The 16236-nt window shown below is 36.4% G+C and overlaps 1 protein-coding gene across 66 annotated transcripts in view; it reads left to right on the plus strand.

Moving 5' to 3' along the window:
- RIMS2 (regulating synaptic membrane exocytosis 2) overlaps positions 1 to 16236 on the plus strand; it is a 755485-nt gene that overhangs the window by 727511 nt on the left and 11738 nt on the right. The window contains exon 25 of one of the 66 annotated variants that reach the window (NR_145710.2): positions 5447 to 5486. The exons of the other annotated variants lie outside the window; for them this stretch is intronic. The gene's annotated coding sequence lies outside the window, so the exon portion shown is untranslated. The remainder of the gene's footprint in view (positions 1 to 5446; positions 5487 to 16236) is intronic. 66 annotated transcript variants of the gene reach the window in all.

Consider the following 16236-nt stretch of genomic DNA (forward strand, 5'->3'; position numbering starts at 1 on the left):
CAGGTTCACACCATTCTCCTGCCTCAGCCTCCAAAGTAGCTGGGACTACAGGCATGTGCCACCATGCCTGGCTAATTTTTTGTATATTTAGTGGAGACAGGGTTTCACCGTGTTAGCCAGGGTGGTCTCAATCTCCTGACCTCGTGATCAGCCCGCCTCGACCTCCCAAAGTGCTGAGATTACAGGCATGAGCCACCGTGCCCGGCCTAGCTTCACTCTTTAAGAGGTTTATTCACCCAGCAAGAAGAGTATAAAGAGACATATCTTATTCTAGTCTTTGTGTATAGTAAATAATGTACTTAATTCTTAATAATCAGTCCCATTTGATTAAAATAGTTTAGAACTTTGCCCTTACGCCGTTGAAATAAGAAAAATTCTTCATACATTTAAATGTAATCCTCTTAAAGTGCAAACATCATACCTAGCACAGTGATATTCAGTGTCTATTAATAATTAACAGTATATAGTTCCACCATTCTTTTCACACTGAATATCAGTATAACTGACTGCCATCCATCCATTATATTTATACTGTTTAAAATGTAACATGTGATAGAGACTTTTTTAAATGCAGTGATCATAGTTTTTACCCATCTTCATGAAGCCAACCTTGGAAGCAGGACATGGATAGACAGTTACTATGGTTCTTTTTATAGGGGATATTATTTTTTCTAGATTATGTGTAACAAATCATTCCATAAATGAGTTCATACCTTGTTCAAAAATAGCACAATATTTTTTTATGTTAGATTTACATTATAACAGACAAAGTGAAGCAAAAGATTTTGGAATTAAGAAAAGTAAATTGAGTAACAGTTCCACTCAATGCCTATCAAATATTACCTTTTTCATATAAGATTCAGAATCTTTCACCACCATGTGTCCAAATAGTGTCTTTAATTTAAAACTTTAATAGACTGAGTTCTACAAAGGAAAAAACCCTTTAATATAAAAGTAAAATTAAACCTCAATTTGCTTTCATCCTTTAACAGGTTCACTACCAGTAACAGGAATTAGTTTCCCTGTAGAAACATCTTATATATAATGACTTATGAAGGAAACTCACTAGAAAGTTATAATAACAGCATCCCATTTCTTCCAAGGACTGTGTTTTAATGTAAATGTTCTCTGCTATTATTAAATAGGCCCCTATTTATGGATCAGACAAGATCATTCTGTATATTTGTTCTCTTTCATATTGAAATGTTTTTGATTGGGGAGGAGGGAGATTTACCTAATGCTGTGTATATATAATATTATTTGAACAAGAAGAAAACACACAAAAATGATAGTATCATTCTAGTTTGGAAGTATCACTCTTTAAATGAAAACAGGGTATTTATTGTAATGTAAATCATGCTTTATGCAAAGATAATGTACCAAACCCATGAGCAGAAATCCCACCAGGCCTCACATGGACCTAAACTGGGAGCCAGAAGGCTGTTAGGAACCCATGAGCATTCTTTTCCCATTTCTTGCCGTTGATTCTGTCTTTGCATGGCTGCTTTTTTCTTTCTCGGCAGCTAGCTCTCTCCCTTGCTCTATTACCCAGACCATGTGGCCTATGGAAAATGGCAGCCAATGGCATCCAAGTTCACCTGTCACAGTTCCACCCACACTGCATATTTCTGTCTTTCTCAGTCCCACTCCCAAATTCCCAAAGAAGAGATTTCACTTACCCAGTTTGGTCCATCCCAATACAGCCAGAAGGCAAGGCCATGTATGTATAAATTTAGTCACCAAAAATGCATTTCTGTGGGCAACTAAGAAGGGAAGTGGTTATTGTGAGCTTCGTAGACATCACCAAAGGTGTCTGCTTTTGTCTGGATCACCAAGAACAAAGGATTTGAAGTACCATTTTTTAAAATTTAGATTTTGTGCCGGCATGCTGGCTCACACCTGTAATCCCAGCACTTTGGGAGGCTGAGGTGGGCGGATCACCTGAGGTCGGGAGTTCAAGACCAGCCTGACCAACATGGAGAAACCCTGTCTCTACTAAAAATACAAAATCAGCCAGGCTTGGTGGTGCATGCATGTAATCCCAGCTACTCAGGAGGCTGAGGCAGGAGAATCTCTTGAACCCAGGAGGTGGAGGTTGGGGTGAGCTGAGATCACTCCATTGCACTCCAGTCTGGGCAACGAGAGCAAAACTACATCTCAAAAAAAAAAAAAAAATAGGTTTTGTTTAAATGAGACTAAAAGGAAAGGAAATTTTATTTTAGCAACTTAAAAATAAAACTATCAGCCAGGCGCGGTGGCTCACGCTTATAATCTCAGCACTTTGGGAGGCCGAGCCAGGTGGATCGCCTGAGGTCAGGAATTCACAACCAGCATGGGCAACATGGTGAAATCCTGTCTCTACTAAAAACACAAAAAGTAGCTGGGCATGTTGTCAGGCTCCTGTAATCCCAGCTACTCAGGAGGCTGAGGCATGAGAATCGCTTGAACCCTGGAGGCGGAAGTTGCAGTGAGCCAAGATCGAGCCACTGCACTCCAGCCTGGGCGACAAAGTGAGACTCTGTCTCAAAAAAATAAAAATGAAATAAAATAAAATAAAATAATTGGTTGTTCCCTTATTATTCCTGTAAATCACAGGCCAGGAAAGAAACATGCATCAGTGAAGTCGGACGGGAATAAAACGAAAGGGAAAAGACAAGGACTCAAAGAGCTGGAGAAAGCTTATCTATCTATAAAAGAAGGATGAATAGTCAGTTCTAGCTAATTAATGCCAGACTGAATGTCAGCCCAAGGTTGGAAAATTTACTCTTTTTTTTCTTTTCCTGAAGGAAAGCTATAAATCTGGTTGTTTACTTAAAACTTTTATATTTTAAAATGTTGGCACATGAATAAAAACTTTCAAACATTATTTGGGCCAAACAAAACACACTTATTGACCAAATGTGGCCTGACATTAAAGACCAATATTTTGCAACTTCTGCCAAGGAAATGCTTCATTCCCAACTTTTCTCAGTTCTCGTTTTTCTTTCCCATTCTCGTTGTCACCTTGGTAGTTTGGGACACGTGAGCTCACCTTTGAAGTGATCTGATAACCCCCCAACCTGCTCTCTCTCTCTCCCTTCTGGACCAATCCAACATCACTGCTCCTGTATCAGTTCTCTTAAACCCCATCTTCATCTTAACACTACCCTTCCTTCAAAAACTTCAGTAGATTTACATCTCCTACTAAGTAAAGCCTTTAGCCTGACATTCAAGTTCTTTAACAATATGAGGTGTTTTCTTTTTTTATGGTTTAGCATCCCCACCTCCCAAGGCTAGTAATTCTATGAAACTAAGTCTTCTTGCTCTTTGTCTCCAAAGTTTTGTTCATGCCTTTCTTTCTATTCTTCCTTTACCACTGTATATATATCCTGTCTAATTGTCCTTCAAAGCTGGGCTCATATTCCATCTACTGTATGAAGTATTCAGAAGCTATAGGAGCTTCTGTAGACAGAGGAAAAACTGTGTGGCTGAATTGGAAATACTGGCTCCACCTCTTCCTAGTTGTATGGACTGTGAAGACAATTTCTTTCAGCTTTAGTTTCCTCATTTGTATGTAAAGTGTACATAACAATACCTATCTTGATGAATATCGTGAACTAGTATTATGCTTACTATTCCCTTATACTCCCATTTCAAAATATTTTTGCCTTTTTCTGAACCTCTAAATATGTGCTATCTACTACATGAGGTATTAGCCACATGTGACTGTTTAAATTTAAATAAATTTTTAAAAATTTAAAATTTTATTCTTCAGTCCCACTAGCCACCTTTCAGGTGTTCAGTAGCTACGTATGACTAGTGATTACCTTATCATGCAGTGCAGAATTATAGAACATTTCTCTCATTCACAGAAAGTTCTACTGGACAATGCAGCTCTAGGAACTTACTACCACTCATAAAGCACTTAGCGCATATTGCCTTGCATTATTATTTGTGTACTATCTTACCTACTAAATTTAAAAATCATATAGTTGGGAATTATGTGATCATGTATTACATATTTGTTATCTCCCACAGTACCTTACATCCAAGAAGTACTTAACAAACATGTAGTGAATGAATAAATGAACAAGTACCTGGTCGGTTTCTATGTTGTTATTGTGGAATGAAAAGAAGCTATTAGATCTGAAAGGGACCATACTGATTAGGTGATTGTTTGCATTCTTGCAGGTACAACAGTACTTGAATGTTATGCATTCTTTGTGCTACACATAGAAGTTGTGTATACTTAGCTTAATATAAACTAGCAACATATTTTTCTATCATACATTACAAAGAAACATGCATATGCAACATGTTTCCTTTCAGGTGCCCAGTTGCAATCAACAGAAATCAATTCTGGCAATTTAAGCAGAAAAGAAAGGTATTTGCTAAGGGATCCTGGATAGGTCATAGAATCTCTAGGAAGGCTGGAGATTCTGGGCTGTAGGTTAGGAGTGATGCCCAAAACCATACTGCAGGTTAATCCTGCTAAACTATCACTGCTACTTGGCACAGATATCACAGCTTGCACCATTGTCAGGACTCATGGCAAATCACTACATGCTGCTACAGGATAACTTCGGGAAAGTATATTCTGGCCACTACCCTCATTGGAATGAAAGCCTATGGTGTCTCTGCTTCTTTGCTTTATTAGCTTCAGATTCAAAGTTTGGAAAAGTAGTGCCTCAACCATGTGCTTATACCCTAATTGCAAAGCAGGCTAGAAAAGTAGCACCTTCCTATTTTAACTTCTATAGTTGAAGGATGGGATATGGGATATTTTTCAAATGTAGAAGGAAGATTTAAATGCTGGTAAGCCAAAAACATTAACAAATATCCACTTTGTAATATAAAATAATTACCAGTGGTAAGAAAAAAAAAACTAAGCTCAATATGATTAGCTATTTTTTAATTCTTTTAAATAAGAGTTTGTCATATTGTTATTTTCCTCTTTGTTCATTGAGCATAAGCAGACAAGAACGGGGGGAAATCTATAGAAGAAATCTAAGGTAAAGAAGATGGCATTCTCAATTTTAACTTTTTCTGCAGATTTGACCACCCAATATCCATGCATTCTCTTGTTTTTTCATATAGAGCATAATAAATTCCTCCTCAGAAGGACAACCTTAAAACCTCAAAATCTTATCCGGCTGGTCGAAATCTAGAATCTTTGAGCAATGTGTAGTCCTCTCATATCTCGATGTGGCTTTTCATGTTATGGTGACCTGCAAGCTGAAAACAAGTTATCTGCCTCCGTTATCTGACTCTGTTAAATCTAATTTAAATGTATGGTAGCCACAGAAAAACTGAAAGAAAAATTCCCATTTAGAAAGGAGAGAATAGGAAACACAAAACAATCAGTCATCTGTAGGAGTTATCAATCTCACTTGGTAGGAATGGCAGAGATTGACAGTAGAGTACGTTTCTTAGTTTACTCATCTGGCAACCCTGGTTCTGTTTTCAGGAAGGTGTTTCTTCGTTGTTTATTCTCTATGGCCACGAAGGTTTGTATTGAAGAGTTGGCTTCATTGCTGTCATAGCCTGCTTCTTTCTAGTACAGGTTTGGAAACTCCATTGTTATCTTATGGGTTCAACAGAATTTTGTAAGGTAAGCTAGTATTTTTTTTCTATACCAGTAGTGCAGAAATTCAGTAGGCTTACAGTCTGTTTGCTTCAAATCAGTTTCAAGTGTGAGTCTCTTCAGCCAAACGCCTCATTAGACACAGGCTTTCAGCCTAAAGATTCTGGTATTTTAGTTTCTAGCCTCTGTGCCCTACTCACTTCCTTTGCTTTCAACTTAATGGCAGCCACCTTGATATCATCTGAAAAAAAGGATTTGGGTGGGAAGGCCACCCCTTAGTTCAATTTGGCCAATAGGCTCTCTCCCCTTCATGGCAAGGCCTGTTATTTATGCATAGTTTTTTTTCTGGAGATTTATGATAATTTCATATGTTATTCAGTTTCCAAAACTGTGCAGATTATAGGATCTGATTCTTTTTCAACACTATTTATTAAACACCACTACGTGTTGTATACTCTATGGCATAGGGTAATTAGGATTCCAAGTTTGCACCAAAGAACTCTGACCTACAGAAAGATAAGTTACCTGCCCAAAATTTGCAAATAGTCAAATAGGAACTTGAACTCATATCATCTGATTCTAAAATGGCGTGTTCATCCAACCATAAAATATTGCCTCAAAATATCTAACTTGAGAGTTACGAAGAGGTTGGTGATATTTCACATCCATTCTTGAGACAGAAACAGGCACAGGTATCAGTGGACTGATGCATGATCAAGTACAGATCTGAAAGTTTAAAAAAAAAAAAGCCAAGGAGTGAGGTAGTGGATATGCAACTCTATCTAAGTAGTTTAACTGTGGATCAGGAATGGATTATTTTCTAATGGGCTTTTACTTTATCCCCTTTAGTGTAGTAATAGCAACATCAGACAAGAAAAACAAGAAAGTACCAAAAAATTACAAATGCCAAAATAACAATGACAGCTATAATTTCTTGTATTTAAATGTGTTAAGAATACCAAAATGATAAGCCTTACTTTTATGGAAAAAAATATAATTATCTTACTGCAGAAGAGTCATAAGCTTTATTTCATCATAAGGTCTTGTTTCTCATTAAAAGTCAGTATTAACAATTACAGGAACCCATAATGGGAAATGGGTATGCCAGTCCTCTGGCTTGATCCCTCTGTTTTGCAGATGAGGATCAAGACACACAAGAGGTCAAGATCCTTTTCAACTCCACATGTTGGCAAATCCGCAATTTTTCACGGTGTATTCAGTCCTATTGACAGCTATGGTATAGTTTGATGAAATCTCCAATTTTTCGTGTGGGTTGGTCCAAAGTGGCATGCTGAGAGATTGAAATGCATATGTATATTGTAGGGAATAACTGTTTCTAGCACATTTGTTTCCATTTTTATCATAAATACGTTACCATCATTTTCATGAAGTCAGAATTTAGTGATGAAAGTGACATATCCCCATTTTTCATGAGAGAACAAAAAACGTGAATGATCTGAGTCTCAACACTACCCATAAAACAATGTATTTTAAGTTTATTTGGACATGCAAGGAGAACCTGAGATGAGGTTTCAAGTCACTGATTATTCTGGAATTAGAAATTTGTGTCCAAAATACTAAGTGAAGATGGAAGCCCAGCATGCTTTGAGAAGCAAGCTTAGGTTTTGACATTGCCAAAATTTGAGTTCAAATCTCATCTATATTATTAGTCAACTGTGTGAATTGGGCACTTTCCTCATATGGAAAATGATAGTAGTCATCACTGCCATACAATCTTCTTACGAAAACTAGAGATAGGTAGATTTTATATCCAAAGCATCTCCACATAGTTGTAAGTCATGAAACAATAGCTCTTTCCCTCCTTTGTTCTGAATTGAGTAGTTGAGTTTTTTCCCAACTTTTATTTTGAAATATTTTAAATATGAAAAAGGGAATAATACAATGAACATCCACTACATAGACTGACAGACGTTATTGACTTTATCTTTTCTCTTTCTCACTCTCTTTTCACTCATACACACACATGCATTCACATACATACACCACATACACGTGGTATGTATTTTTACCGACCATTTGAGCATAAGGTTAAGTTGCAGACATCATGATAAATCATTAAGTACTTTTAGCATACATCTCAAATTTTTAAAAAAATATATGTAAGCATAAAATTAACCCAAAAACCCCTTTGTTATCTCATATTCATTCCGTATCCAATTTCTTCAGTTCAGTTGTCCCCCAAAAAAATGTTTTTTAAAGCTTTTTGTTGTTTTTCTCCTTAATCCAGGATTCAGTCAAGATTTATTCATTGCATTTGGTTGTTACGCATAATCTAAAACAGTACTTTCCCTTTTGTTTTTCATGACATTGACTTTTGAAGAATCCAGACAAAACTGTCTTGTAGAATGTCCAACATTCTGGATTTTTTTTTTTTTATCATTCTCTCTATTCCCTGTATTTCCAGTAAACTGGAGGTTAGACCTAGGGATGTGATTACATTGAGTTAAATGTCATAGGTGATATAAACTTTATATAGTCCATCGATAGACACATAATGTCAAGATTTCTTACTCCTAGGCATGCTACATTTCATCACTTGGTTAAGAGGTGACTGCTAGTTTCTCTCTATGGAAAACATATATTTTTCTCTTTATAATTACTAAGCAATTTCTGGAGTAATACTTTGGTACCACATGAATATTCTGTTCTCTAAAAATTATCCAATAATTGTAATATCCAGTGCTGACCCTTGCCTGAATCAATTATTACACTGGGACTGGGAATTTTAATTGAGTTTTTTTGAAACATAATCAAACTTAAAAATAGACTTAAAATGTGTATTAAGTCTATGCTTTTACATTATGTCATAAAGTGGATTAATATAGTATTGATAACTTATTTTCTTACATACAGCATTTTCACATATGACATGACATTTTCTACTTTTCTATAGACAAGTATTTTCAATTTATATAGTTTTTACTGAAAATAAGTGGTTTTATTAATGGATATGTGAATACTATTATGGGTCATCATACTGCATGTTAATTTTATATACAAAGAGCAGACGAAAAGTAGTTAGAAATGTAAAAGAATATCAGGAATTAGAAACATAAAAAATTAGTTTCCAAGAAGAGCGTAAGGAGACATGATGACTAAATGTAATGTGGTATCCTGGATCAGAAAAAGCACTTCAGGTAAAAACTAAGGACATCAGAATAAAGTATAAACTTTAGTCAATAGTCATATATCAATATTAGTTAATTGCCACAAATTTACCATACCTATGTAAGATGTTAATAATTGGGAAAACTGGATGTGGGGGTGCTAGAATTCTCTGTACTATCTTTGGCAATTTTCCTGTAAATCTAAAACTATTCTAAAATCAAATATTTATTTAAAATTATTTCAGTGTGTTTTAAATGGGAATCTGAATTTTAAGAAAAATGATTAAAATTTCTTTAAGCATGCTTATAAAGCAAAAGCCATGAAAACAGTTATAAAATAGAATATCAAATTCAGAGTTTTTAACAGAGCTGTATTCAAAATGGCCAATTTTTAAATGATGTTGAAAACAAAAAAATAGACAAATTTAAAACTTTATTTACAAGAAAATGGAATACTATCTATTGTATGTATCTGTCAGAATAGGTTAGGTTGTAGTAACAAACAACTAAAAATATTAATGGCTTAACACAAAAAATTTATGTCTCACTCCCACTACTTGTCCATTGAGAGTCCTGTGTGTGGCTGTACTCAGGCTGATGGAAGGAGACATAGTGAGTCATACATACATCAGCTGCTAAATCTTCTGCCTTGAAGTTACATGGGTTAGTTTTGCTCACATTTCATTGGACAAACAAGTCACATGACCACACCTAACTTCAGAGGTGGGAATAAAGTGAATATACATGAATAGACCTAACATCTACCATAATCATGACCCCTGCTTGAAGCTCACCATGCTGTAGCTACTAGATATGTAACTTTTATAATATTAAATAGTTGTGACAAAGCTTTTGGAATGAATGGATTCATGTTAAAGTCCGAAACAATTTTGTGTGTCAATTGTTAATTTTTAATCTCAATTTTTGTTTTAATTGTAAATGCAGAGCCTGGATTAGCCCAGACGAAATTGTTGGCTATTTGTCTTTATTTTGTTTAGACTTTTAGAGATTTGAATTATATTTGTGATAGTAGCAAGACCTGAGAAGCATAAGTGTATGAGCTTTTACATGCAGTCAGAGTAATCCATGACAGTGTCCCCATATTGAGGTCTTGCAGGACCAAATAAATAAATAAATAAACATCTTTCATATCTTGATATAAAATCTGCTGATGGGAGGGAAGTTATAAAATCTGCCGATGGGCACTATTTACAATAGCAAATACTTGGAACTAACCCAAATGCCCGTCAATGATAGACTGGATAAAGAAAATGTGGCACATATACACCATGGAATACTATGCAGCCATAAAAAACAATGAGTTCATGTCCTTTGCAGGGACATGGATGAAGCTGGAAGCCATTATTCTCAGCAAACTAACACAGAACAGAAAACCAAACACCGCATGTTCTCACTCATAAGTGGGATTTGAACAATGAGAACACAGGGACACAGGGAGGGGAACATCACACACTGGGGCCTGTTGAGGGGTAGGGGGCAAGGGGAGGGAGAGCATTAAGACAAATACCTAATACATGTGGGGCTTAAAACCTAGATGATGGGTTGATAGGTGCAGCAAAGCACCATAGCACATGTATACCTATGTAACAAACCTGTATGTTCTGCACATGTATCCCAGAACTTAAAGTAAAATTAAAAAAAAAAAAAATCTGCTGAGGGGAGAGAAGTCATGTCCACAGAGTCTACCACAGAGGTTGATGAAGGTGCTGGAGACAATTGTTATATTTAAATTTTAGGAATTAAAGGAGCAAGATGGAAGAGAGTAAAAGTAGAATTTACAATTATTGATTCTTAAAGACGAAAAAGTCTTCTACCAAAGACAAACTAGCCACTCAGGACCTCAACTTTCTCATTGCTGCAATAAGGGAGTGCATAAACTACATAGATATACTGGATACCCAAGATTGCTTCCTAAAATCTGTGAGTCAATAATTTTAGAAATTCATTGTAATGCATTTTTTAATATGCTTTAAATGTAACACAAATGGTTTTCTAAATTATACTCACTCTGAGAAATGGTAATTTTGAATAAATGCAAAAATAGCAACTCGTTAAAGCATATAAATTGTGGTCTAAACTAAAATGTAAAGTCAGTTTTCATAATCTGCCAACTATTCTTCATCCTGTTTCCATAAACCATTTTCCATATTGACATTGAGAAAACCCTGAATCCAAAGTAAGTCTGTCTGCAGTAGATGAGACCTTGCAGGTGGGAGCAACCAGGAATGGGTTATGTGAATCCAAGATTTGAAAGGAGGTCACCATGACATTAAGTTTGACAATGCATTGTAAGCCCTGCCTTGGGTGGGGCTTAAAATAGTTTCCAAGTCAGTAGCAGAAAGGATCTTTTGGTTTTTGTTGTCAAGTAACCAAAAAGGTTTTCTGGTTTCCAGATATTATTAGGGGAAACTGACCCTTTGGTCTTTTGTTTAATCAAATGGCTTTACTGAGGGTGCCAGGTAAATGAGTCATTCAGACTAAGCAGGGCAGAATAACGAGGACACCTGTGTTCTTCCTTCTGCCTGTGATGTTTTGCAGTTCAAGAACTTGATTTTTACCTGCAGGCATCTTTTCCAAATGTACTTTGGCTTAAAATACCTAATACCAAAATTAGTGATTTAAGGGCTCAACAACAACACCATCTGGGCCTTACCTGAGTATTTTTTGATGTCTCAATACACACACACACACACACATTATACATATATGTTTATGTATGCATGTGTATGTTTATATGTATGTGTATACTTTTTTAAATGTACACTTTTTAAAATAATGGTTAAGTTTTTACAGTTTTGATGGTCCACCCCTAAGTCATAATAGGATATTTTAATAAGTCTCCTCATGTAAAAAACTTATCTACAAAGGACTCAGAACTTACTGTATTAGTTTTATATTACAGTATAACAATTATCACAAATTTAACAGCTGAAAACAACACCCATTTATTAATTCACAGTTCTGTAGGTCACAAGTCTGGCACGTTTGGCTGGGTTTTTTCTCTAGAGCATCACATGGCTGAAATGAAGATGTTGCCTGGGCTGAGTTCTTGTCTGGAGGTTCTAGGGGAGAAAATCAGCTTTCAAGGCCCTTTCGGTAGTGGACAGAATCCAATTCCTTACAGTTGCAGGCCTGAAGTCCCCATTTTCTTGCTGTCAGCCAGGCATCACTCCCAGCAGCTAGAGGCTGCTCTCACATCCTTTCCATGTGGCCCCTTCCCTCTTCAGGCAGAGAGAAGTATATTGAATTTTCTTGTGTTTCACATCTCTGTGATTTCCCTTTCTGGAACCAGACAGAGAAAGCACTCTGCTTTGAAAGGGCTGGTGTGGTTCAGTTACGCCCATTCAGATAAGCACCCTATCTTTAGGTCAACTGATTAGTATCCTTAATTACATCTGCAAAATCCCTTTTACCATGTAAAGTAACATAATCATGGGTGTCATCTTAGAATTCTCCCTACCACATTTTCTTTCTATAGACCTTCACTGTTACGTAGATTCAGTTTTTAAGTTGAATAATGTGACAAATCATTTGGAACATTAAATGTGATTCATGGTAATGAATGACATTCAAGTTAAATTAGTTTTATTGTAAATGTAGCTAAAGATTTTGTGGTGCTGAAAAATAAATTACTTTTAAAATAAGCCTATAAATGTATTTGATAATGGAACATTGAAAAAGACATGTATTAAAGGGCTACTATAAATGTTCAGTATATTAGCTGGATTTATTTGATTATGTCAGATGATAGTGATTAGCATATCTCCTCAATGTATGCTGTTAATCATGGTCTTGGTTATGCATTAATACACAAACTCGTAGACATTAGAACTCAAAGATATCAGATATCATCTGCCCTCCTCCCCCTCCCTTTTTCATAAATGAGGAGCCAGAGACTCAGAGAGGGGATATGACTCAGAGAGGACAATAGATAGAGCTCACAAGTTAGTGGTAGAGTCAGACCTAGAATACATAGTTTCAAATTCTGTATCTGGTAATAATAACAGTATAATTAATTGAAGCTTTTCTATGCATCAGGCACTATCCTAAGTGCTTTAAATGCATTGTTTTCCTTAATACTCACAAAAATTCCTACCTCATTCCTAATGAGGTAGGCTTATTATTGCTGTCATTTCAGTTTGAGGAAACTGAGTCACAGAGAGGGTATGTAACTTGCTCAGTGTCATCCACCTTGTAAATGGTAGAGTGGAGACTAAAAGAGAAGCAGTTTGATCCCAGGGCCTGACTCCTTCACTGTGCTCTGCTTTTCCCACCCCACTAAGCTGCTTCTAATAGGGCCTTCCATATGCAGTTACAGCATTAGCACAGTAAAATCTCCATAGACAGCTGCACAAGCTCCCCATTTAGTTATATTCTGACAGTGAAGTACTGAATAGCAGAAAATGTGGAGTCTGGGAACTGTCTACAAATGCTGGTTCTGTCACTTACTATGTTGCTTCAGGGAATTATGTAAACTTCTGGGGCCCTTAGATGCTATAACTGTAAAATTGGGATTTTTAGCATTGTTATGAAGGGGATACATGTAAGAAGCAACCTGTAAACAAAAAAATTACATGCTTATCATATTATTCTTTGACAAACGGTGCTGGTTCTCATAACCCTATAATGGCAGATTTTCAAGTCGCTTTAACTATGATAGAGTCAGACCTTAAATTAAAAACTTTAGATCTTTGACATTGCAGAGGCTGTGTTCTGAGATCTTTAAGAATCTCATTTCCTTTCTAAGTCGTATGTTTCTTGTACGTATCCTCATTCCACATGCTCAAATGTCACTGAAGTTTTATGTCTCACCTGATGGGAATTTTTTCACAAGAGCGCTGTTCACAGGAAGTGAACATTAAAGCTACATGGAGAGACACACTTGTACAAAATTGTATTACCTCTTGCTTGGGGTTTTTGTTTGTTTGTTTGTTTGTTTGTTTTTGAGACACAGTCTTGCTCTGTCACCCAGGCTGGAGTGCAATGGTGCAATTTCGGCTCACTGCAACCTCTGCCTCCTGAGTTCAAGTGATTCTCTAGCCTCAGCCTCCCAAGTAGCTGGGATTACAGGTATGGGCCACCACGCCCAGCTAATTTTTGTATTTTTAGTAGAGACAGATTTTCACCATGTTGGTCAGGCTGATCTCAAACTCCTGGCCTCAAGTGATCTGCCTGCCTTAGCCTCCCAAAGTGCTGGGATTACAGGTGTGAGCCATCATGCCCAGCCTACTTTTTGATATAGTTATTTGAGGACCACTCAAATGAAATCATAAATATTAACTTCATGTATATCAGGATGTACTCTGCATTCTCATTCTTTCATTTCTCCTTAACATTCTCCCTCATTTTTTGAAACATATATGTGCAGTTTTGGGTTGGGGGTGGGGGCTTGGTTGTTGTTTTGTTGTTTTTTCCTACACCATTTGAAAGTAAATTGCAGAATATATAACATTTCAGGTCTAAATACTTTAGCATGTATCTCCTAATAAGAAAATTCTTTATAATACGTGTCATTATGCACCTTAAAAAATAACAATTTTCTAATCTCATCTAATGTCAAATGCATATTCAAATTTTCCTTAACTTGTCCTAAAATTACTTTTATACTGTTTTGCATATAGGGTTTCTTGTTTTGCTTTCCCAAACAAGAAGTTCAAGTACACTCGTAGCATTTGATGGTTAAATTTCTTTGATATATTTTAATCCAGAATAATTCCCTTACCTTATTTCTTTGTTTGTTTTCATGATATTAACTTCTTTTAAGAGACTAGGCCAACTTTCTTGAACAATAGTCCATGTTCTGGATTTCTCTGATTGTTTTATGTATGTGTGTCTATCATATACCTTGTTACTCTATCACCTGTTTTTGAAAAGTTGAAGTTGGCTCCAAAGATCTGATTAGAAACAGGTTGCATGTTTTTGTCTAGAACAACTTGACAAGTGATGCTTTGTATTTTATATCTGGAGGTGCATATGATTGTCCCCTCTTAGTGCTACTAAGTTTCATCACTTGATTAAAATGGTGGCAGCCTGGTCTCCCAGTGTTAAAGTACTTTTTTTTTCCTTTAACAATTAGAATAATTTATGGAACAATTATTTGGCTCATATGAGTATCCTTTCTACAACCTTTCATCTAATAGTGTTAGCCTCCATTGATGAGCCTTGCTTATATCATTGATTCCAATGGAGGTTGCAAATTGGTAAATTTTGAATTTTATGTAAAATTTAATGCTTTTACATTTACTAATATTCTGCTGTAAAGAAGATCTTTCCCTTATTAGTAGGGGATGTTTTGTATCTTGTTACAGTTCATATCAGTACAACATGTTTACTACCAATTATCTAAAATATCAGCCTTAGATTGCGGAACTGAGTTATAGATCAGTCATAATTTATATTTCATTTATACTCTTTAAAGCATTTTGGTGTACCTTAATGTTGGAAGTAGAGAATGGATGAAATTTAAAGCAGTATTTCAAAATGGCAAGTACTTCTAAGAGACTTGGTGAAAAGAGATTTCGACAAATCACTGGCAATATCAGCAAATATTTATAGACCTAAAAATAACTTATTGCTGGGCACGATGGCTCACACCTGTAATCCCAGCACTTTGGGAGGCCAAGGCGGGCAAATGACAAGGTCAGGAGTTCAAGACCAGCCTGGCCAACATAGCGAAACCCCATCTCTACTAAAAATACAAAAAATTAGAAGGGCATGGTGGTGGTCACCTGTAATCCCAGCTACTTGGGAGGCTGAGGCAGGAGAATCACTTGAACCCGGGAGGCGGAGGTTGCAGTGAGCAGAGATTGTGCCACTGCACTTCAGCCTGGGCAACAGTGCAAGACTTTGTCTCAAAAAAAAAGAACTTATTAATACCAGCCACTAAAAGAGCTAACCGTATGGTTGTATCCCAAAAAGCTATCAATATGCACAGTGTGGATAAATAGTTAAGCCCGACAAGAAGTAATCGAGTACAAATCATTTGGACTATCACCCTCTTGCTCGAGCTTTGGTAGCCTCTCAACTTCACATCTCAACACTCATAGCTTTTGTAATTTGGGCTCAGTTTTTTGTGGAACCCACTCCCCCATTACTTTACATGTGCTTGGTCATTGCACCTCCCTTAAATGCACATGGTCATCCCTATCTTTGCACCTTTGCCATGCTGTTTCCCTTGCTTACGAAGCTCTCTTCTCACCTCTCGTTAAGTCCCAATCTGCCTATGTTTCATGTCCAGCTCAAATCCCACAGCCTCTATGACATACTTCTTCCCTGACCTCTCCAGATAGTACTTCCTATCTGTGTCACATCTGTAGTATTTGACTCAGTTTCCTGTTTGGTCTTCTAATTGGTTTCTATTAGTAAATCACATCACCAAACTATTAAAAATCCTTGAGGACATGACTACCCGTGAACAAAAATTAAAAATCTCTTTTCACATTATTTTGGTGAGTTTTTGCATTGCCCTTGGAATATCTTTCTGAAAGTTACCAATAGATGTGAAACTATTGGCAAACTAGGCTC

This window comes from Homo sapiens, chromosome 8 (assembly GCF_000001405.40).
Source record: "Homo sapiens chromosome 8, GRCh38.p14 Primary Assembly".
NCBI lineage: Eukaryota > Metazoa > Chordata > Mammalia > Primates > Hominidae > Homo > Homo sapiens.